This window comes from Homo sapiens, chromosome 4 (assembly GCF_000001405.40).
Source record: "Homo sapiens chromosome 4, GRCh38.p14 Primary Assembly".
In the NCBI taxonomy this organism is placed as follows: domain Eukaryota; kingdom Metazoa; phylum Chordata; class Mammalia; order Primates; family Hominidae; genus Homo; species Homo sapiens.
This window is the reverse complement of record NC_000004.12, coordinates 38047763-38070039: the sequence shown is the minus strand read 5'-3', so window position 1 is coordinate 38070039 and position 22277 is coordinate 38047763. Positions and strand designations below refer to the sequence as shown.

Below are 22277 nucleotides of genomic sequence, written 5' to 3'. Positions count from 1 at the left end.
CCCCTCCAGCTCTGACCCTGCTCCACACCTCCCACAGCCCAGATAATGGCCTAGGACAGGGGTGGCCAATCTTTTGGCTTCCCTGAGCCACAGCAGAAGAAGAATTGTCTTGGGCCACACATAAAATACACTAACAATAGCTGATGAGCTGTAAAAAAACAAAACAAAACAAAACAAAAAACAGAAAAAATGAAAGAAAGCAGGCCGCGGGTTGGACAAGCTTGGCCCAGGGGTTCCCTGATACCACGGTGCCTCCATACTTCCCCCACCTCTCCCTGGGTAAGTGACCCTGAGCTGGGCCAATCATTTCTCCCTCTCGAAACCTGGAAGAAAACACAGATTGGCAGCCAGCTACGTGGGTGCCCCTGAGGCTAACAGGTCATACAGATCTGGGGGTTGGCATGACTGCATATAGTAACAAGCAAGCTGGGTGAGCTGGTGTGCAGAATAAAGAGACCGAGAGGAAAAAAAAATTACATGGCCTCAAAGAGAGATCCAGAGAGACAGCCTTGGTTCCTGACAACTTCCTAGTTCCCAGCCTTTACCCTTATCTTGCTGTTTAAAAGCCTCCTTTTGATTAAGCTAGTTTGAGTCATTTTTTTGTTTCTTGCAACTAAGCAATCATTGGCTGAGACAGGCTCACATGCATCTGCTTCCTGAGCGTTCCCAGAGCACCGCCTACAGGTAGGGGGCTAAGAAGCTGAAAACAACTTCCTCTCACAAGGAGCTGAAACCTGATTAAACAGGCGAGAAGGGAACATAATCAGGGAAAACAAACAGGTTGGTGATACTCAATCAGTTATGGCTTAATGGAAAGGGGAGTGAGATGAACAATCAAGATTCCAGTCCATTCTACCACTGACTGTATGACCTTGCCTGTATGACCTTGAGTGGACCCCTTTCCCCTAAAGCCTCTATTTCTTCTTCTGCAAAACAAGGAACCTGGATACATGACAGTCCCCACTTGCTTTTAGGATTCCTTGAAAGCACTGGGCTCAATAGCTTTTACATATCCAGTAACACTAGTTTTAGGAGCAGTGTGGGTTGTAGAAAATCTTGACTGCCTGAAGTTTACTTCTTTAGTCAGGAGACAGTACAACACAAGCACCACCCTGAAGGCTGATGGTGCCACATTTGTGGTTCTGAGTGACGGAGCTGGGGGGACTGGAGATCTCAGAGTTCACCACCTTGAGCAGCATGTCCAAGAGAACTTTCTGGGATAAGGGAATGTTCTAGAGCTCTGCTCTCAATATGGTAGCCACTCTCACAATATTGCTGAATGTTCTTGAGCTCTGCTTACAATACGGTAGCCACATGTGGCTCTTGAAATGAGGCTAATGTGAGGGGCTACATTTTTATTACATTTAAGTATAATTAGTTTGTATTTAATTTTAAATAGTGATATGTGGCTGTTGGTTACTGTACAGGATAGCACAGATGCGAGGTTGAGATAAATAACCCGAAGACACAGTAAGACGCTCTCCATCGGGGCATACACAAAGCCATAAAACATCAGGCACAGAGAGGCTGACTACGCCTGAGGGGTAAAGAGAAGAAATGGTGACATCCAAGTGGCCTGAGAGGATGAGGAGAAGTCTGTCGCTGTTAATGCACTGTGGGTTTGGTGAGGAGGGGAGAAAACGAGCAGGAGTGTCCTGGGCAAAAGGAAATGATCTATGCAAAGTCATGGCTGCCTGAAGAAACAAAAGCTACCAGGGAATGCTAGAACATTCCACACAGGCAGAATCACTACCTTCCTGCCTCTGGTGGCTGCACGTGACCAGCCAGGTAACTCGGTTTCAGATAATGAGACACAAATGGAAGTACACTAGGGATTTCCGCGACAGTTTTGCTCTCCAGATATAGAGGGGTCACCCTTTCCTCCTTGATATCTCCTGTTTTGTTCTGCTTGGAACTGGAGGGGAAGCCAAAGGCGAAGGAATCCAAGCAGAGGAAGCAGAAGAACAGAAGCAGCCAAGCTCGAGGGTGTCACCACTGAGCCCCAGGGCCAGCTCTGCTCTCTCATCATCCAGACCTCTCGTCAGGCGAGAACAATCCCTCACTGGTACATCCGCGTATTGGCAGGCAGACACAATCTCTAAATGATGTGAATTTTGGTACCTGGAGGTGAAAGCCTGGAAAATGTGAAAACGGCAGGACAGAGAAACCTGGGCCATGGGAGGTAAGGAGGGCCATACCTGCCACCCACAAGTGAATGGAAACTCGGTGACTTTTCGTACTACAAGAACATCTGGTCTAACTGTATGCAGCCTGCTGTACACTGGGACCTGCACCAGGGGCTGAGCCTTCGGTGTTAGGGAAACAGAAGAAAACTATCAGAATGTGGTCCATATGGGTTTCTCTGACGGAGAATGAAGAACTGAAACTTCTCTGGCAAGCAGTGCCAGGCAGAAACACCACTTTGTCCGGAAAGGTATCCCCACTGACGGCCTCCAATCTACAACCTGCAATCTGAATCCTTGCCAGGCTGAAGAAACCAACAGCTTCTGTTTTGTCTCCCAACCCTCCCATACTGCCTTGTCTGCAAGAGAAAGGCTGGTACCAGTAAGAAGAAGGAAAGCCGTCCCCTGGCAACTGTTTGAGGAAGATGCTGCTGCAAAATAAAATCCTAAAAACCACACCAGCTGTGTACATCCATAACTTATCACCAGAACTGCTGTTCATCGAACATTCTCCAGCAAAAACACCTGAACAGGAAACAAACCATAATAACTTCAACTTTCTGTGAAAAACCCATCATTCTTTCAAGTATAAAATTCATAGTTTGGTACTAGAAATCATTTTCAGAATTATATAAGACCATAATTACCACGTTCCTACTTTGGTAAATAATGTTTAAAATCTTGGCCGGGAGCGTGGCTCACACCTGTAATCCCAGCACTTTGGGAGGCCGAGGCGGGCAGATCACAAAGTCAAGAGATAGAGACCATCCTGGTTAACATGGTGAAACCCCATCTTTACTAAAAATACAAAAATTAGCTGGGCGTGGTGGTGCGCACCTGTAATCCCAGCTACTCGGGAGGCTGAGGCAGGAGAATCGCTTGAACCCAGGAGGCGGAGGTTGCAGTGAGCCAAGATTGCACCACTGCACTCCAGCCCGGCGACAGAGCGAGACTCCATCGGGGTAAAAGAAAAAAAAAATCTTGTTAGTACTCATGCTGCAAATATTTTCATTTATATAGAAGTGATATAACAAATTCACTTGGAAAAAGTTCATTTAGAAGCAGTTTAATGCATCCTTTGGCTTTATCTCAGGATCTCACAAAGCGGAGAGCTCCCTGAATGTGCCATCACTGTAACCCCAGAGCCCCCAGCTCCCCTCCAGGGGGGGCATGCATAGCTTTGCCACCTCCAGGAGATGTCTGCTCTTTCATTCAAATACATGGAGGCCTGGCGCAGTGGCACAACCTGTAATCCCAGCATGTTGGGAGTCTGAAGCAAGAGGATTGCTTTAATTCAAGAGTTCAAGACCAGCCTGGGCAACATGGTGAGACCCTGTCTCTACAAAAACTGTAAACATTTAGCAGGGCGTGGTGATGCGCACCTGTGGTCCCAGGCACTTAGGAGGCTGAGGCAGGGGACTGCTTGAGCCCAAGAGGTCGAGGCTGCAGTGAGCTATGATTGTGCTACTTACTGTACTCCAGCCTGGGTGACAGAGCAAGACCCTGTCACAAACAAACAAATAAATAAATATAAATAACATAAACCACTCAACTAGGAAGCCTCTAATTTTGCTAAAAAAAAAAAAAAAAAGTTGCTAATAATGCCCCAAATGTATGCTTTATTAGCAAGAGTTAACATTTAATTCTAGAGTACTTCCAACATAAGATACATTCCTTCACACTAACACAGCCCATTACTGTACAAGCACTAATTTAAGTGAGCAAACCTATCAAAACTCTTGATAATTTACTCGTAAAACTGTCAACGGTTCATTACTGTGATTAAGAGACTAGATTTAGAGCTAAATAGATTGATACGAATCCTGGCTATGTGAACCAAGAGCTGCAGGAGACATAACTGTGTCACTCAATCTTTCTGTCCTCATCTCTTAAAAGATGGGCAGTAAGTCCAGTTGTGGTGACCCACGCCTATAATCCCAGCACTTTGGGAGGCCGAGGTGGGCGGATCACCTGAGGTCAGGAGTTCGAGACCAGCCTGCCCAACATGGCGAAACCCTGTCTCTACTAAAAAAGATACAAAAAATTAGCTGGGTCTGGTGGCAGGCGCCTGTAATCCCAGCTACTAAGGAGGGTGAAGCATGAGAATAGCTTGAACCTGGGAGGTAGAGGTTGCAGTGAGCCAAGATCGTGCCACTGCACTCCAGCCTGGGGGATAGAGCAAGACTCTGTCTCAAAAAAAAAAAAAAAAAAAGGCGGTAATACCTATGGGGATCATCTAATTGTGTAAAAGTGAAAAACACAAAATGCTTAATACATGATAAAGATAATTACAATGGCTATTATTAATATCTGATGCGCTTCATTGCAAAGAAAATAGGCTTTGTTGCCTGTTTCATCCCCTGCCATAGAACTCATTTCTAATTTTCAATGTGCTGTTTATTAATCACTCAGGACTTTTTTGGAATTTTTATCAGAATAGGAGGTCCCCATGCTTATCAGCTGCTGCGGCTTGAGGGCTCCACCCAAGATAATTCATCTCCAGCATCAGACATTTGGGGGCGTAACCCAGTAACTGGTGGTTCTACAAGTCCTCCAGGGGATTCTGGGGCACAGTTTGCAAACAGCTGACAGAAATGTAGCTACGGGCTGGGTGGGTGCAGTGGCTCACACCTATAATCCCAGCACTTGGGGAGGCCAAGGCGGATTGGCCTCTTGAGGCCACTTGAGGTCAGGAGTTCGAGACCAGCCTGGTCAACATGGAAAAACTCCGTCTCTATTAAAAAATAAAAATAAAAAAATTAGCCAGGTGTGGTGGCAGTTGCCTGTAATCCCAGCTACTCCGGAGGCTGAGGCAGGAGAATCACTTGAACTCAGGAGGCGGAGGTTGCAGTGAGCAGAGATGGTGCCCCTGCACTCCAGCCTGGGTGACAGAGCAAGACTCCATCTCAAAGAAAAAAAAAAAAGAAATGTAGGCTGGGCATGGTGGCTCACGCCTGTAATCCCAGCACTTTTTGGGAGGCCGAGGCAGGTGAATCGCGAGGTCGGGAGATGAAGACCATCCTGGTCAACGTGGTGAAACCCCGTCTCTACTAAAAACACAAAAAATTAGCCGGGCATGGCAGCGCACGCCTGTAGTCCCAGCTACTTGGGAGGCTGAGGCAGGAGAATTCCTTGAACCTGGGAGGTGGAGGTGGCAGTGAGCGGAGATCGCACCACTGCACTCCAGCCTGGGCGACAGAGCAAGATTGTCTCAAAAAAAAAAAAAAAAAGAAATGTAGCTCTGTGTGAATGCTACCAACCTGTGGCCCTCTGGCTGCCTCCCAGCTGCAGGGTCCCTGATGGAGGCACCATGGAGACTTGGCTTCCCCCAGCCTTCCCACACACTCATGAGGGCAGTGCCAGAAACCAGGGCAGCCTCCGTTTCAGCCTAGGCAGAAGAAAGGCACATGGCAGCCTGCAGGAAAGCCTAGGGCCAGCAGGACCAAACCCTTCCCATCCCTGCTGGCTTAACCATCCCCGTGGGTAGAATCACAGGTAAGGCCCCCCTGGAGGAGGAGTTTCCACACCAGCTCACATTCAACACACAAAAACACATACATCAATGTTCACAGCGGTATTATCCGTAACAGCCAAAAGTGCAAACAATCCAAATGCCTCTCGACTGGTAAAGGATAAACCATATGTGATGTCTCTATACAACGGAATATTAATAAGTCATTAAAAAAGAATGGATTACTGGTATGTATTATGACATAATGAATTTTGAAAACATGTTAAATCAAAGAAGCCAGACACAAAAGACCACATATTATATGATTGCACTTAGATGAAGTGTTCAGAATAGGCAAATCTATAGAGACAGAAAGTAGATTAGGGGCTGTCTATGGTTAGAGGTGGACGGCAGTAGATTGGCAAGTGACAACTACAGGTTTTTTTCTAGGGGGACAAAAAATGTTTCAAAATTAGACTGCGGTGGGTCGGGCTCACGCCTGTAATCCCAACACTTTGGGAGGCTGAGGCAGAAGGATCACTTGAGGCCATGAGTTGTAGACCAGTCTGGCCAACATGGTGAAACCCCGTCTCTAGTAAACATATAAAAATTAGCCAGGCTTGGTGGGGCATGCCTGTAATCCCAGCTACTCAGGTCGCTGAGGCATGAGAATCACTTGAACCCAGGAGGCAGAGGTTGCAATGAGCCGAGATCGCACCACTGCACTCCAGCCTGGGCGACAGAGCAATACTCCGTCTCAAAAAATAAAAAATAAAAAAAATTAGACTGTGGTCATGGTCACACAACTCTGTGGATATACCAAAAAATAACCTCACAACATTGAATTGTACATTTTAAATGAACAAACTGTATAGGATGTGAATTATATCTCAATAAAGCTGTTTTTTAAACAAAACAAATCTATCCTTCTAAAAAAACTCCCTCCTCAGAGCTGATCCAACCCTTCCTTCCCTTGCAGGGCTGCCTGTTTACTGAAGCAGGCAATAGGGTACACAGAGGACCAGGGACCAGGATGAGGCAAATAGGCCCCCAGGGTGTAATCCTTAGGAGACACTCACTCTCAAGGTCCTGGAAGTTCAGGGTCCACACCTGCCAGGCCCTGAAAGTGAATGCCTCCTTACATTTTGCACCCTGGACACGTGCTGGCCTCACTCTAGTCCCAGCCCTGATTTTGAGGCTGCTCATGTTCATGTATGTCCACAAATTCTATCCACCTGGAAATATTTTCAAACTACTCGTCATTCACTTGCTTTAAACTCTTCAATGGCTCCCTGGTATAGGTTAAAATTCAAAGGTTAACAGATCAAGATCACTCACTTTGGACATTCTCCTGCAGGCACACAGGCACACACTCTAGAGTTAGACCAGCCCTAAGGAGGAATCTGCTGTCAGGTGCTGTAGCATCGTCATGGGTCAGCTGGTATCAGAACAGGAGGGCAGGGATTCAAATCCAGGCGATGTGACTCTAGCATCTCAGCATCCAAGCCCTCAGCCCTCTTCCCCTCAGCCCTCCTACCAAGCAGCACTGGCTCAGGTGCTATCTTGTGTCACCAATAACCTTAGCTCCAGCCCTCACACAGTGTTATGGACTGGCTGTTTAAACGCCGGAGGTTCACTAGGAAAAGCTCAGTCAGTGTTAACTCACAATTGTTAACAGGCACAAAAATAGCAAGTCGAGGTAAAATCTTGCCATTCACTGTGACTTCCTTGACTTTTGAAATGACAAGCCAAGAAGCACAATGGGGTGTGGGGGCGGCGCAGGGTGGGTGGGGTAGGGGGCGGATGGGGAGGTGATCAAGTATCTTTAACCATAGAAATCCATGAACAATCAGATTCTTGGCTTGCAATATTTTATCTTGAACCTGGTCTTTGTTCACCACAGAAAAGCAAAGTTATACAGAAAGTAAATTAAGAACAATCTTAAAAATCCACGTCTCTGCCAACTGAAGACAACTTTTTTCTTCCGTGTTTTGCCCATGCCCTAAAACCCTGTAGAAAAAGAAAAACATCTAGATTTCAGAAAGTAGCTCTCCATTCAAATAAGTTGCAAATGAGCAAGGAATATAAATATTATAGCAAGATCAAAAACAAAAACACGCAGGGAAAAAAAAAAAAACAAGCACACTTTTCCGGGATTGGAAAGAAACAAGGGCAATCAAGATGCGGGGAGCAACACTGCCACCAAGTGGTGACAGTTTCTCAAGTCACCCTCTGAGGTCCGAATTGAGGTCAACCCTCTCAACGTGGCAGCAATCAGAATCCTGAGGAGTCTAAAAAGAAAGAATTCAGGCCCAGACCCCATCCCCACACTCACTGACAGTGAGGGAGACAGCCAGGAAGGCATGTCTGGCCCATGTTTTAAAAAATCTCCCCAGGTGCTTTTGGTGCACAGATGTCACTATGCTTGTATTTTCCAGCAAAGTTTCACCTGCAGTTTATTCCACTTATCCACTAAAATTTCCTGCTGGTACGTAAATTATTGAAAACTATATATGACACATGTAAATCATGTTTCATGTAAAACATGTAAATCATGTTTCAAATCAGTTCCTAAGTTTTTCACAATAATATAAATTGGTCATCATAAAGATTCAGATTATATACTTCAGTTTAGGCATTACTGTTTATTACTGCTTACATCTCAATTGATATCTAATATCTAATCCACTAGACTTAATGTTACTATAAACTAGGCATATTGACATAGCTACATCCACAAGACAAAAAAAACTTTGAACTTAAGTTTCACTGGACTATTTCTTATACAATGGGTTTCAAATCAATAAATTATTCTTATCTATATTAGGCTTTTTTTTACAAGACATATAAAGTCTGAAAGCTTCTATTGTTGGTGAAATGCACAATATAATCTGAAATGCTTAAAGGAAAAGTATAAAACTAAATTTAATATTGTTCCCTAGCACATAGAGGTAAATAAAATGATTTTTCCCCGTTTCAAAGTTGGGAGTTGCCTTAAAAATTGTTTCTTAATAACAAAGGATTATCTTTTGCATAATACACCCAGAGAGAAAATTATGGAGATTATGTACTACCAGATATCTAGTCAGAAGTTGATTTTCAGCATTTTTTTTTTGTAGGCTTGACAATTAGGTTAGAGCCCACGGCTGAGAAAACAAACGCCCACACTGTGTCTCCTGTGCTCCATAAGAGATAAGGCCTTGCCTCCCTGGAAAACCAAAGGGCAGGAAAGACGCAAAGCACCATACATTTGGGTTCACCTGGCATATGGTCAAATCTTTCTTTAAACCTTACCATGTTTTTAATCACTGCATTTTCCCCATCACACTCACTCTTTGCTTCTTCAGACAGCACAACTCTTCTCAAAAAATATCCCTGATGACTCAGACTTATTTGAGACTTGAGAGACTCCTGGAGTCCATCACTAGAGACCCAGGGCAGCCTGACAGACAGGCCTAACCTAGGATGCATCAAAGATCTGGACTGGATTTCCCACGGTTGTTTATTCTAAGCCCTGCCTCCTCACAGTGGACCTGAAACATCAGCCTCACTGGGGAGCTTGTTAGAACTTCAGAACCCACCCGGACCTACTGCAACAGAGTCTGCCTTTTAACAAGATTTCCAGAAGACTCCAAGCACATCAAGTTTGTAAAACACCGCTCTAAACCATGATCTGAAGAAAGCCTCTTAATCAACAGGTGTATGAGGTCTTCATCTGACAGATGAGACTGCCTCTATCTGCTTTACCTTCAGTACAGGCCAACGATGGCGATCCACAGTGAGGTTCTGAAAAAGAGAGAAGGCTGTCACACAGACGTAAGCATCCTTACCCTTTACTCAGAGGAGCAAATATGTCTCTCTCATGAACAGACACTTCTCAAAAGAAGATATTCATACAGCCAACAAACATGAAAAAAAGCTCAACATCACTGATCATTAGAGAAATGCAAATCAAAACCACAAGGAGATACTGTCTCACACCAGTCAGAACGGTGATTATTAAAAAGTCAAGAAACAACAGATGCTGGTGAGGTTGCGGAGAAGTAAGAATGCTTTTACACTGTTGGTGAGAATGTAAATTAGTTCAAACATTGTAGAAGATGGTGTGGCAATTCCTCAAAGATCTAGAACTAGAAATACCATTTGACCCAGCAATCCCATTCCTGGGTACATAACCAAAGGAATATAAACCACTCTGTTACAAAGATACATGCATGCATATGTTCACTGCAGCACTATTCACAATAGCAAAGACATGGAATCAACCCAAATGCCCATCAATGATAGACTAGATAAAGAAAATGTGGTACATATACACCATGGACTACTATGCAGCCATAAAAATGAATGAGACCATGTCCTTTGCAGGGACATGGATGAAGCTGAAAGCCATTATCCTCAGCAAACTAACGCAGGAACAGAAAACCAAACACCACATGTTTTTGCTCATAGATGGGAGCTGAATCATGAGAACACATGGACATAGGAAAGGGAACAACAAACACTGGAGCCTGTTGGGGGGCGGCAGGGAGCAGGGAGAGCATTACGAAAAATAACCACATGCTGGACTTAATACCTAGGTGATGGGTTGATAGGTACAGCAAACCACCATGGCACACGTTTAACCATGTAACAAACCTGCACATCCTGCACATGTACCCTGGAACTAAAAATAAAAATTAAAAGAAAAATAAATCCAAATCTTAAACACACCCAACCTGCAGTAGCTTCGCTAACGCCACCCTCTGCCTAGTGTATAGTTACCAAGAATGAATGGTCCTTCCACATACTCAGCGTCACACAAGGCATTCACCCTAAGAACCCACAGCACCAAGAGAGAATGCACTTTCTATAGTTTCTGCGGCAGCCAGAAGTGACTGCCACACTTAAAGCATCACTAAAGCCATTTGCTTTACATTTAAACAGGCAGCTTTCAGGATTCTATTTCACGATCTATTTTTATTACAAAAACATTTGCCTTGCCAAGTCTCCAAGTAAAAATCGCTGATTTCCTATTTATCATACAATTTCCCTTCAATGTAGTACCTGCTGTGCACGTGACCTACTTAGTATTTGAGAAGCAGGGACCCTCTGAGGTTCAGGATTAAAACCAGCCCTCTTAGACTTTGCTAACTTAAGGCTGTAATTCTTACAAGAGACCAACTGGTCACTGTTGAATTTAAAAAGAAAAAAAAATAGTCTGGGATTTGGGAATATTTGTCCTGGAGCTACTAGACATATGCAAGCAAATTTCTAAATATAAATTAACTTCCTACCTACCTCAGATAGGTTTCCAAAATATAAAGTTCAGATTCTTGCAACTTAATTATTTCATGGGGATTTTGTGCATAGAAAACAGTCACACATCCCTGAGTAAACAAGAGGCAGACTAATTTTGTTTGAGACAATTTTGCCCATTATACTATTAGAGATTAGACTATCCACCTCTATCCACTGTGCCTGACTTTGTATTTTCTTCTCTTTTTACACTATATTTAGTTAGAGACACACTCCTTACTCACTTAACACCCTTCTCTCCAGATTTTTTTTTTAGCCCACCTATAAAAATTAGAATCTCCAAATTACAGAAAGTTTCTATTTTTCCTTCACTAGTAACATTATCACTATTGCAAACACCATGGTTTTTGTATTACTGTTGGTGTGTTTTACTAGTATCTTCCAAGTGGGATGACATGGATGGAACTGTATAAACATCCCTGCCTCGCTTTTTCACCTGGAAGAGAGGTTGTAAGATTTCCTGTCCAATTGAAGTTTGCACTGCCAGAATATAAATGTAAAACAGGCAGTCATTTTGAGCACCTGAAATAGGTGTTAAAAGGTACTGTTAAGATCTATTTCTCACAAGCACACTTGTGTGTCTTTCATGCCAAAGTCAGAGTGGGAATGCAGTGAGTCCAGCGGCTGCAGGCTCAGCTGCCCATGGCTCAGCCGCCCAGGCAAATCAGGAACAGAGTCTTGTGCACGCTTGGCTGGAGACAGTTTGCACAAAGCAGGGACCTCTGGGGAAAGAAACCTCAGAGCTCTAAACTGTCTTTGGATGTGATGTCTCTCAGCTGGAAGGAACATATGGAGACCTGCTAGTGTGGGTCAAAGTGGTCACAGACCACAGTGGAGGGCTCTGGCATCGTGCATCCTAAGGATGGGGAACAGACAGTGGCAGAGGACAAAGATGCCTGATTTGTCCTCTCAGACAGAAATCAGTTGCCATTCAAGCTCCAGTCCCACTGCTAACTATTAGGGAGGCGGTCAGGATGGAAGGGGGCGGAGGAGATTGACTGAAGGCAAGTACGTACATTAAAATGCCCAGAAACATGTTTTCCATTCAGTGTTGGTGTCTGGCCAACAGGGAGACATGCAGGTACACTGAGAGTCCACGCCCAACACAGATGCCTATAGGGAGCTTCCTGTGGGAAGAGGGAAGCACAGGCAGGACCACCTCCAGAGGGTCCCGCAGCGTCCTGCATCTCTGGCTGCAGCCCAGTGCTGTGCACAGTTCAGAGAATGAGCTTTGGAGCTCAGACCCGCGAGCTCAGGTCCTGCCTCTGGCTCCCACTAACTCCCTGGTTTGGGGAAAGTGATTTAAGCCACTCCCAGCCTCCACTCACCCACCTGTAAAATGGGCTTCATAAAAATGTCGATGTTCTTAAGATTGTCTAATTAAAGGAAATAATTCATGTAAAGCACTTAGCAGAGTATAAAAAGAGCATAATATGTGGCTATTATTATATTAATTCTTCCTTAATAATCCTTTTATTCTCGTTTTTCTTTTGCATACACAGAACACTTAAACAATGTTATTCAGAAATTCAGGCGGCTTGGTTCTGAGAAGAGATAAGAAATAATATGTGCCTATAGAGACAGAGGAGGCATGAGGAGGGAGTTGAGAAATCACTAATCACTAAGTTTGCAAGAATCTGAGCCACTGACTTGCCTGCCTTTAGCAGCCATCAAGCCTGCAGGAGCTGCCGGAGATGGGTGACAAAGATGAACCTGTGAACATGTGTTACAGGGAGAGAGCTGCTATGGGAGAGTCAGGATACAAGGGAAGGGGAGGGAGGGAGCCATGGGGATACTGACGAAGAGCATTCCAGGCAGAGGGAATAGCCTGTGCCAGGGCTCGGGTGGGGCATGAGGGTGAGTTCATGGCTGGCATGGCACAAGCCAGAGGGGCTAGTGGGAACCTGCATCAGAGGAAAGGTGGACATGGATGGTGATCTCTGCCTAGCGCTGACAGGGGTCTCTAGACATCTTCCTGCAGGAGATTGGGTGGTGGGGCACAGGAGGGAGAGGAGCTGACTTGTTTGGGGTCTGATGAATCAGGGGTGATTACGGCCTAGGAACAGGAGGAGCAGCATCTATGCCAGGCCCTGTTCTGTTTGGTACTTTTAGCCATTACTTAAAGGCACAAAGGCCATGTTTGTCCACTTGACAGGCAAATATATACAACTTACTGGTCACCAGACTCAAGACTCAAAACAATCGCAAAAGGACTGCTCAAAACTGATGAATACTTTATAGGTACAAACTATGCGAGGGAAAAAAACTTCTCAAGTATAGACATGACTCCCCCACCCCGCGAGACAAGGTCTCACTCTGTTGCCCAGGCTGGAGTGCAGGGGTGTGATCACAGCTCACTGTAAACTCAAACTCCTGGGCTCAAGTAATCCTCCTGCCTCAGTCTCCCAAGTAGCTAGGACTACAGCTTCACAACACCACGCTCAGCTAATTTTTATTTTTTTGTAGAGACAGGGTCTCACTATGTTGCCAAGGGTGGCCTCGAACTCCTGGCCTCCAGGGATCCTCCTGCCTTGGCCTCCCAAAGCACTGAGCTTACAGGCATGGTCAACTGTGCCAAGCCAGGAAACCAGTCCAAATTTAAATAATGGTTCATATCCCAAAGGACAAGATAGAATAAGAGCCAAGAATGTTTGAGTTAATCACTTAAAGCAGAAACAGATTATGAAGATCAATCTGCATTAACAGAGCAGTGGCAGGTCAACGGAAGGAGCAACACACTGCCAGAGCCAGAGGCCAAGTGAACACCAAGTTCAACTCAGGACTCCAGGAGGGGCAGAGGCTCTTCGGAGGACAGGACTCGGACCAGGGGTTCCCAAACAGTGACGAGGGCAATTCCCCTGGAGAAGAGAGCTAAAGGAGGCAGCAGCTTCCATGGTCCTCTGTCATCTGAAGGGCAGGAAACAGATGCAAACACATTTCCGTGTGGCTTCAGAGACCAGAGAAGAAGCCAGGAATCAGAGGACAGGGAGGCAGGATGCGGCTCAGTCTGTGAATGCTCGTTTGAAAACTTGGAACTGTTCTATGATGGAGCAAGCAGTCATCTGTGGCCCCTAACGCATCCTGGCCACTGCACAAAGCATTTCCGAGCAGAAATTTCCAAGCGACCATGCCCTGTGAGGTATGGCCACCGCAACACCGAGGCACTCTTTATTAAACACCGAAACTTGGGTTCTGGCACCCCTTTCAGACATGAATCAGCTTCGTTCCTCCTCCAGGGCCTCCCTCTGGTGGCTCTGGTTCCCACTGCTCCACTCCACACCCTCTAACAGGGTGCTACAGGACCTGGGAGGAAGAGCCCTTCTTTGCGGTAAGCAGACCTCTCCACGGGGCAGGGGAAGAGAGATGTGGCCATCTGGCTCACACTGGCAGGAAGAGAAATCAAACCCTGGCTAGGCTCAGCAGCTCCACCGAGGGGCCACCCACGGCAGGAATACTTTATAGGTACAAACTACTTGAGGGAAAAAAGGTGCTGGTGAGTGGCAGCTCCATGGTGCCCCCACATAGAAAGGCTGGGGCAAAAGAAGCAAGGGGCCAGGCTCACCCGAAGGACTTCCACAGCATGGGAGGTGACATTACCCTGGAAACATTCGCATCACTGATTTTCTTTCCAGTACTATGAATTTTGAATGCTTTAAAAAAAATGTATCAGTAATGATATCATGCTGCCTTGTCTCTATCAGTGTGGCAACAGGCATAATTAATCCCAGGTTATAGGTGGTAACTTTAGACAGTTTATTCTAGTTCACAGCTCCTAAGGGGAAAAGCTGGGATTTGAAAGCAGACTCCGAAGCCCACGCTTTGGTTACAGCGGGTAGCTCGTCAGACATGAGGACGGCAGGAGAGGGCCCTTTCCAGATATGCACCAGCAATGTCAGGCGACCATCAGGTGTTGGTCAGGCAGTTGTCAACTGTTTCTCTAAAGTGATCGTTGGTCACAGCGGGCACCAAGGAAGGGCGGGCTCCCAGTAGATAGAAAACACCTAAAACTGGGGAGCTGCAGCTTCCCAATAAGATCTCGGGAGCTGGGCGAGTGGGCTCAAGCATGCGCATTAAGAGGCAACATGGCGGAATTTACCTGGTGCATGACGTTCCTCTAGGAATGCTAGACTGGACAGGGAAGAACGCCTCAAGTGAGCACGCCTACAACTCCAGTAAACACCCTGCGCACGCTCCCCCACAACCCCCGTGTGCTAGCACGCCAATGCACATGCGGACAGCCCACCCCAAGGGAAGAATCAGAGAAGAAGGAACGCAAGACCCCGGAAGTATGGCAGCATATAAAACCCCAGGTCAAAAGGCCAAATCTCACACTTCATCTCTCAAGTTGCCCGCCTAACCACCTTCAAAGTGTACTTGACGTCCTTTCATTCCTGCTCTGAAGTTTTTAATAAACTTTCACTGCTGCTCTAAAACTTGCCTCAGTCTCTCCTTTTGCCTTATGTCCTAGGAGGCAAGAAGTGAGGTTGCCGCAGACCTGTCTGGATTCACCGCTGGTTAACACTGTGACCACTCTAAACATCAGAGCTCTGCTCCTGTTTATGGAGAGGTTACCCTAAATTAGCTTTAAATTCCTTCCCTAAGAAATGGAGGGTAACCTCTAAATTCCCTCCCTAGTTACCTTTGTGATTGCCTCAGACCTGCCAATACTGAAGAGGACGGCGCTCTGCTTTCTTACCAATATGATGGGGCTCCCAGGGTCCTCTGTCAGCGTGCTCTCTTTGAGGTTTCATTTCAGGTACCGGCCTTACCTTCATATCTGCTGGAAGAATCGCACGCCTTCTGCGGGGTGGCTACTCGGAGGAATATCTGCTGCCTCCAGGAATGCCTCCGGGTCTTCACAGGAGTCCCACCAGAATCACCAAGATGGTTTGCTTTGGATTCAAAGTCCCTAAAATTATAAGATGATTGATTTATGACTAGTGGGGAGGAATTCACGGGATTTTGTTAGCTTAACATTTTTTTAAACAAATCACTAAATTATCAACTATCTTTGTATAAACAAATAATCAATCACAGAAGTTATATCAAGCTCACAGTGGGTCATCATTCCTAAAGAACTGCTTTCTTACAGAATTCTTTTCATGAAAAGAGAAAGATTACATGCCCTTAAGTGATTTCGATTGTAACAGAGATTAAGAAACATGTTCCACATATCATAGTTCCAATTGGGCCTCTCTTGGTGCCACTTTGATAAAGAGAAACTGCCTAAAGGGGGAAAGGGGGTGATGCCAAGGGGCCCCATTCTGCCCTCTTCTGTGCATGGGAATATCTGCTCAGCACAGGCCCATGTCTCCAAGGATTCCCACAAAAAATGAAAAAACTTGCAATTTAATTACACAGAACCAGCAAGGCAATAACTATGCAGTCACTTGATGATGATAATTGTTTTAACGTGTGTATTTTTTAAACTACAAAATACAGTTATCAATATATAAACACAATCATAAATGTTTTCTCCTATTCACAGGACAACCTGAGAAGGCCCTTCCAATTTATACCCAAGTTATGTACCTGTAAGTAAGCAATCCCCTCAACTTACAGATTAGACGTCCTGAACAGATCAGACATCCTGATTTGAAACAGACATATGCTCACTAACCAGAAACACTGGTCTCAGAGACTTGGCAAAGACTTTTCTTAAGATAACACTTAAACTAATCCTCGTCAAAACTAGAGAACAGGTTGGTTGCACATTTTTAAAAATGGCATTCAGTAAGAAAAAAGTATAAGAAAGAAGATACAACAGATTTAGCTGAAATGATTTTTTAAATGGCAAAATAGTAATTAAAACACCCTTGTATATCTAATGATATTCAACACTTAGTAACACCCAGGCTTGATATATCTAAATTAAGCCCTACCTTTTTGTGTTCATAAAATCAGAGGTGTTATTTTCATCTACAGGAGCCAGAAATTTTAGAAAATTTGGCACAGAGGAAGAAGAATGAAGTTTTTTCCGCAGGGCATTACGGTAGGAGATGCTAAGAGTTTGGTTGAAAAAAGAGTTTAGGATAAAGAAACATAAAAACACAAAGTATAAAATATAAGCTTCAAAATAAAAGAAACATTTTTGTTCTAATGCTAAGAAAAGAAAACTAGGTAAGAAATTAAAAGTAGTTCACGAATGAGATTTAATTTTCATTTTCACCAATAAAATTTGATTTTAAATGAATGGGATCAATAATTTTTTAAAAAAGAAAATCCATCCATTTTCCAAATAACTCTTCCTTTCAAACTGGGAAAAATAATTCCCCTAAATCAATCAGGAAGTTTCTGATATGGCACAAATTGCAGTGTACATGATCAAACACAGATGTTATCCTGTGTGTGTGTGTGTGTGTGTGTGTGTGTGTGTGTGCGCGCGCGCGCGCGCGTGTGTGTGTATATACGCATGCATGTAAGTGTCCACTAGGGCAAGGAAATGTGAAAATAAGTATAAAAAAACAATTTGCAGCAGGGTGCAGTGGCTCACACCTGTAATCCCAGCACTTTGGGAGACTGAGGCAGGCGGATCACTTGAGGTTAGGAGTTCAAGAACAACCTGGTCAACATGGTGAAACCCCATCTCTACAAAAAAAAATAAAAATATTAGCCGGGCATGGTGGCGTGTGCCTGTAGTCCCAGCTACTCGGGAGGCTGAGGCAGGAGAACTGCTTGAACCCACAAGGCAGAAGCTGCAGTGAGCCGAGATCACGCCACTGCACTCCAGCCTGGGGAACAGAGTGAGACCCTGTCTCAAAAAAAAAAAAAACAAACACAAACACAAACCAATCTGCCATTAAGATCTGTTTTCATAATAATCTTAAGAAAAGTCATCAATAGTAAAATTAACTTGGTTCAAATGACAGCTGAAAATAAGACAAAATATAAACAAAGACACACACGCGCGCGCACACACACACACACACACACACACACAGTGGCTCTGCTTCCTGCATGGACATTCCCCCCATTCAGCACATCCTCATCAGTGTGAACTCCCCAGGAAAACAGACAACACCAAACTTGCCACGTGAGTGTGCTCACCTCTTTGGCACAGCATTCCCACTTTGTTCTCCACTGGAATTATGTTTTAGGTACTTAAAAAAGTTTGGCGAGGAGGCGGAGGGGTTAAGACGAGGTGGAGGAGCAGGAGCTGAAGACTGACCTGGGCGGTGCTTAGACTCACCCACAGGTGAAGGATCCACACTAAACAGCAATCAGAGAAAGCACGGGGGGGTTAGCAGGAGAGGGGGCGCCGACAGGGACACGGAGCAAACAGGTGGAAGGAGCACACCGCTTTTGTCTCGTTGTTCCAGTAACACTATCAGAGTGGAGGACTTCTTCCACTCCTTTTCCTCATCTCTGCTCGCTCTCTGGCAAAGGTAGTTTTCAGTGAAAAACAGAGTATATTGACGGCCGTTCTTGACCATTTCCCACGTGTTTATGCTCCCAACAATACTTTTTTTTTTTAATAGGTCTCACTCTATCACCCAGGCTGGAGTGCGGTAGCACGATCACAGCTGACTGTGACCTTGAACTCTTGGCCTCAAGCAACCTCCCACCTCAGTCTCCCAAAGCTCTGGGATTACAGGAGTGAGCCACTTCGCCCAGGAACAATAATATTTCTTTCTCTATTTTCTTTTTCAGGAACTGGCAGGAAAAAAAATTTTTAATTAAAGTATAAACAAAAGCAAAAAAAAACTGAACTTTAAAAAATACATTTCCCTTTAAAATGAACAATATCCTGCCCTGAATTTCAATGTCTTATTTCCTGTAGATAAATCGGAAAAGAGCTCACAAGGGGGAAAGAAAGCAGAATGGGCCATGCTAGAGAGGCAGACAGACAGGCATCTCCTCATCCCTCCCATTACGGATGTGTGACATCATCTATTATAAAGCTACATTCTTCATGGAGAAAGGAAAAGTACTGATACTAAGTCCTATCAACTCTGGCTTTTGAGAAACAGCAGACTTCACAAGAGAACTAGGACTCTCCAGACAGGAATGTTTCAATGATCACTGAAAACGCCAACAACAGAGGAGTGGGCAGGCAGTGGTGAGGCAGCACAGAAGTAATGTGCAGACAGGGTGTTAAACACAAGAAACTTACACAGCTACAACCCAACGATGTGTGTCTCTAAAAGCGTGTATTTATTAAGCAGTACCTTCTGACATGTCCCCTGCTTTTGGGATCACCACTACCCCGCTGAATTCCAAAGAACCAAGAACTCTTTCCAATGGCTGACAGAAAACAAAGCTGGGAGGCTCTGCTCCATCATCCAGGACTGTTAATGCTCACACTTCTTTACTCAGAACATTCCAAACACTTCTGTACTAACTCACACTCTCAATGATCCGTGTATGAACTACACGAACACATAGGTCCTGGGACTTCTGCGGCTGCTGGTCAGAAGAAGGCAGCGACTGTACACAGGTGTGACCTTGATTCATATTAGGTGAGAGATTTTTAAAATTGTTTAAAGTTGTTTTTAAAGATAACTGTGTCCATTTATAGTCTCTGGCACACAGAGTTAAATGAATCACTAAGGGACACTTGGAAGGAATGGGGGGAACTTCTGATTACTCTTCTCCATAACCAGACGATTCTAACTGGTCACAGGAACCCAACTATTACAATGAATAAATCTTGTTAGAAGAATCTAGAATTCTTACAGTGAGAGATTTTAGAAAACATCTACTCCAATTTTGTTATTCAGAGAATTTAGCAAATTCGTCCAGGTCACAATTAGTTCACGGCAGAGCTAGGACCAGAAGCTGAAGCACCCCTGTCACCCTATGAGGCCAGCATACCTCTCTTGCTCTGCCTGTAAGGATCAGCGCCTCTCCCTCCCATTATAACCCTGCTCCAGGGCTTCAGATGGGGAGACTCATCCGCTTGCCCTCTTCCTCACAGCAGCAAAGTTCCACAGTCAACAACGTCTCTTACTTTGTTTGAGGAGTAATGACTATGCATGTTAGGTACCATTTTTGCTCACTTTCACTTGCTTCCTGACAATACAAGTACCCATTGCTTGTATACTCACAAGCAGCTCGAACGAACATGTCACTGCTTCCAGTTTTATCTCCAAACCAAGAGTAAAGCCTGACTCATTTCTCTCACTCAATAAACATACCTGGGATGCACATACCTGGCTAGTCACAGATATGCCCCAGCTATTTATGCAACAAATTTAAACAAATCTTACTTTCGTTCATGAGGCGTCTCTGTGCTCACTGAGTGATACCTCATAAGTTTCCTTTGCGAAACCCCCGGGGACCCCCGGGCAGGTTGTGGAGGTTCCTGGCATTCGATGGGGAAGTGACTCAGGGTGTTTGCTCGCCTCCTGAAGGCCTGCTGGGGCGACAGCGGAGCTGGCTCTTCTGGGAGATGACTCTCCGAGTCACTGGACAGGTCCTCCGAGGAGCCGAGGAGCTTAAAGGAGCTCTCAGAGATGGGCAAGGCCTCCTTTTCACACACAGATGGCTCCTGGGAGCAAACACACAGCAGATCAGACACACCATGGGGAATATGTGGGATTTATAAATCTCTAGTTCCTGCACGGGCAAACATTGCAGTATCTAAGTATGTGTTCTGATTATAATGCCATCTAGAAGCCACCACCAAAAGCAGAAGAAAATGAAGGTCCATTAAATAAATGCCCGCTCCTCAAGGACACACTGCTGGCTTGCTGGAGAAATGGGGAGACTGGCCAAGTGCAGGAGTGAAGGACATAAGCCACAATCTGTAACGTTCTGAACAACGCCATGAATAGTGCCCTCTCTCTAGAAAACAGGACTGTTTACTGCAGCTTCTAAGGGGTGTGAGTGCTGGAGAACTTGTCTCCACTGCTTAACCAAGTTCTTTATCTTTGCCACATGTGTTCACTCATGTTAAACCCACATTTTAAGGCTCTCTCCGAATCTGATCTACTGTTGAGATTCGACTTCATAATTTGAGATTAAGAACTGTATCAATATTCTTAGAATATGGAAAATCACTCTGTAGGCACTTACTGCTGCAATTCAGGGCAAATAATTTCTTTCTGCACCTCAATTTCTTCTGTAAGAGGGTAAAGTAAAAATGTATCTGAGTTTCAAGAACAAAGCAAGATGATACAACCAAAAGTACTTTTTATGTTGTAAAATGTTACACAAACATAAGTTATTGTTTTATTAGGTATGCAATAAATCTATGGAGTGAGTGCTCAAACATTTGTTGAGAATCATGACAATATTTTAAAGTTGTATGCCTTCACGATGCACGCTTTTTCAAAGGAATGAACTACTACCACTCAAGCAAACTGATGTTTAACACTGCACCCAGGACGTGGCTAGTGGCCAATATATTTTTAATATATTCAAAATATTCAAAAAGAGGAATTGTAGCAGCTTGCTCCTATTGAAATTGTTGGAAGAGAAAAAATAAATCAACAGGAATAGAGTAAACAAGAATGAATGCATCTAACAGTGGACTGGAGACTGAATTCTACCTGTTCATTTACACAGTTGAGTGCCTTTTAGGTAACAAGTATTGAGGGTTTTAATTTGAAAAAAAAAAAAAAAGAAATGTGTTTACCAAAGGGAGAAGTTACATACATTTAATTGTATAAGAATTAGGAAAAAATTCCCAACATACTATGAAATATTGATTACTTTCATAACTGAAGTTTTTCATTCTTCAGGACTCAACAGTTGTGAAGATTCTTTTAAGGATTTAAAAGTCTCTCTAAGACAATACATCACAGAACACAATCTCCATCATGCAAACCTGTTGATCTAAATTCTTACTAATATCCCTCCAAATCATATCAAAGAGCTAACCCTTAGCTTAATTGGACAACTGAAAGGGCCATTTTCATTTGTCAAGTTTCAGGGCTATTTGGTTTCTTTGCAACTCCTAGGTGATCAATTTTTTAGAAGGGATCCAATTACATAAAATAGAATATAGTAGTTTCTCAATTCAAGATGAATAAAAGAAAGATGTAAAGTACACTTAAACATATACAATACATACAAGCAGCTTCTGAAAAGTTGCATCTCTCTTAGAATGACTCTAGAAATTGCAATCTTAGACAGACTTTTAAATCCTTTTAAAAGAATCTTCACAACTATCGAGTCCTGAAGAATGAATATGTATATATTCCTAGATCTGCCTTTTGGAGAAAAATAAAAAGCAAGCAATAAGGCTTACTGGAAAGCCCACTGAGTGACATGAATGTCTTCATGGTATGTCTATTGACACTGGTCTGTCTAGAATGCCTTCTTCTCTGTTCACTTCCATAGGCACAATTCCTACACCAAGATTTAGTCCAAAAGCATCACTGCCCCCTCACCCCTCACCT

General features: G+C 44.2%; 2 protein-coding genes across 28 annotated transcripts in view, besides 6 other annotated features; one reads left to right on the top strand and one right to left on the bottom strand.

Annotated features, from left to right (window-relative positions):
- The window catches only part of TBC1D1 (TBC1 domain family member 1), a 248090-nt gene that overhangs the window by 69134 nt on the left and 156679 nt on the right, over nucleotides 1-22277 (bottom strand). For 5 of the 27 annotated variants that reach the window (XM_011513659.3, XM_005262646.4, XM_047449897.1 and 2 more), the window contains 5 exons: nucleotides 20142-20422; nucleotides 17980-18141; nucleotides 16815-16934; nucleotides 15702-15841; nucleotides 9382-9420 (listed from right to left, as the gene is read on the bottom strand). In XM_011513659.3, the coding sequence (XP_011511961.1) occupies nucleotides 9382-9420; nucleotides 15702-15841; nucleotides 16815-16934; nucleotides 17980-18141; nucleotides 20142-20422 (742 nt within the window). Of the gene's footprint in view, nucleotides 1-7488; nucleotides 7645-9381; nucleotides 9421-15701; nucleotides 15842-16814; nucleotides 16935-17979; nucleotides 18142-20141; nucleotides 20423-22277 lie in introns of those variants that run through there. The other 22 variants (XM_011513660.4, NM_001396959.1, NM_001253912.2 and 19 more) reach the window with 8 other exon arrangements.
- Nucleotides 348-487: an enhancer, noted in NCBI's record as "active region_21421". NCBI's record gives its function as "activates an Ori minimal core promoter by ATAC-STARR-seq in GM12878 lymphoblastoid cells {active_cell/tissue: GM12878}" and the evidence as "EXISTENCE:reporter gene assay evidence [ECO:0000049][PMID:35858748]".
- Nucleotides 1551-2050: an enhancer, noted in NCBI's record as "H3K27ac hESC enhancer chr4:38069611-38070110 (GRCh37/hg19 assembly coordinates)". NCBI's record gives its function as "activates a minimal SCP1, AML or CMV promoter by ChIP-STARR-seq in naive and primed H9 embryonic stem cells {active_cell/tissue: H9 hESC(naive and primed)}" and the evidence as "EXISTENCE:reporter gene assay evidence [ECO:0000049][PMID:30033119]".
- Nucleotides 2051-2552: an enhancer, noted in NCBI's record as "H3K27ac hESC enhancer chr4:38069109-38069610 (GRCh37/hg19 assembly coordinates)". NCBI's record gives its function as "activates a minimal SCP1, AML or CMV promoter by ChIP-STARR-seq in naive H9 embryonic stem cells {active_cell/tissue: H9 hESC(naive)}" and the evidence as "EXISTENCE:reporter gene assay evidence [ECO:0000049][PMID:30033119]".
- Nucleotides 12291-12460: an enhancer, noted in NCBI's record as "experimental_79330 CRE fragment used in MPRA reporter constructs". NCBI's record gives its function as "activates a minimal promoter by MPRAs in K562 erythroleukemia cells, with activity observed for both the introgressed and non-introgressed 4:38059286 variant alleles {active_cell/tissue: K562}" and the evidence as "EXISTENCE:reporter gene assay evidence [ECO:0000049][PMID:34662402]".
- LOC124900692 (uncharacterized) lies at nucleotides 13891-15365 on the top strand. Its single transcript, XM_047416508.1, has 2 exons — nucleotides 13891-14260; nucleotides 15051-15365. The coding sequence occupies exons 1-2, from the start codon at nucleotides 14074-14076 to the stop codon at nucleotides 15287-15289; spliced, it is 426 nt and encodes a 141-aa protein (XP_047272464.1). The 5' UTR covers nucleotides 13891-14073; the 3' UTR covers nucleotides 15290-15365.
- Nucleotides 14523-15722: an enhancer, noted in NCBI's record as "BRD4-independent group 4 enhancer chr4:38055939-38057138 (GRCh37/hg19 assembly coordinates)". NCBI's record gives its function as "activates an origin of replication core promoter dependent on BRD2, P300/CBP, MED14 and CDK7 cofactors, and independent of BRD4, by STARR-seq in HCT116 cells {active_cell/tissue: HCT116}" and the evidence as "EXISTENCE:reporter gene assay evidence [ECO:0000049][PMID:35650434]".
- Nucleotides 19099-19562: an enhancer, noted in NCBI's record as "ENSG00000065882_4:37728494-37728957 (NCBI36/hg18 genome assembly) insert fragment". NCBI's record gives its function as "drives selective reporter gene expression in differentiated C2C12 myotubes {active_cell/tissue: C2C12}" and the evidence as "EXISTENCE:reporter gene assay evidence [ECO:0000049][PMID:22144875]".

Bases quoted from the DNA above. Each gene is read 5' to 3' on its own strand.
- LOC124900692 (XM_047416508.1), top strand. From the start codon at position 14,074: ATGGCCACCGCAACACCGAGGCACTCTTTATTAAACACCGAAACTTGG. The intron at 14,261-15,050 runs GTAAGCAGACCT...ACGTTCCTCTAG, and splicing joins AGGAAGAGCCCTTCTTTGCG to GAATGCTAGACTGGACAGGG.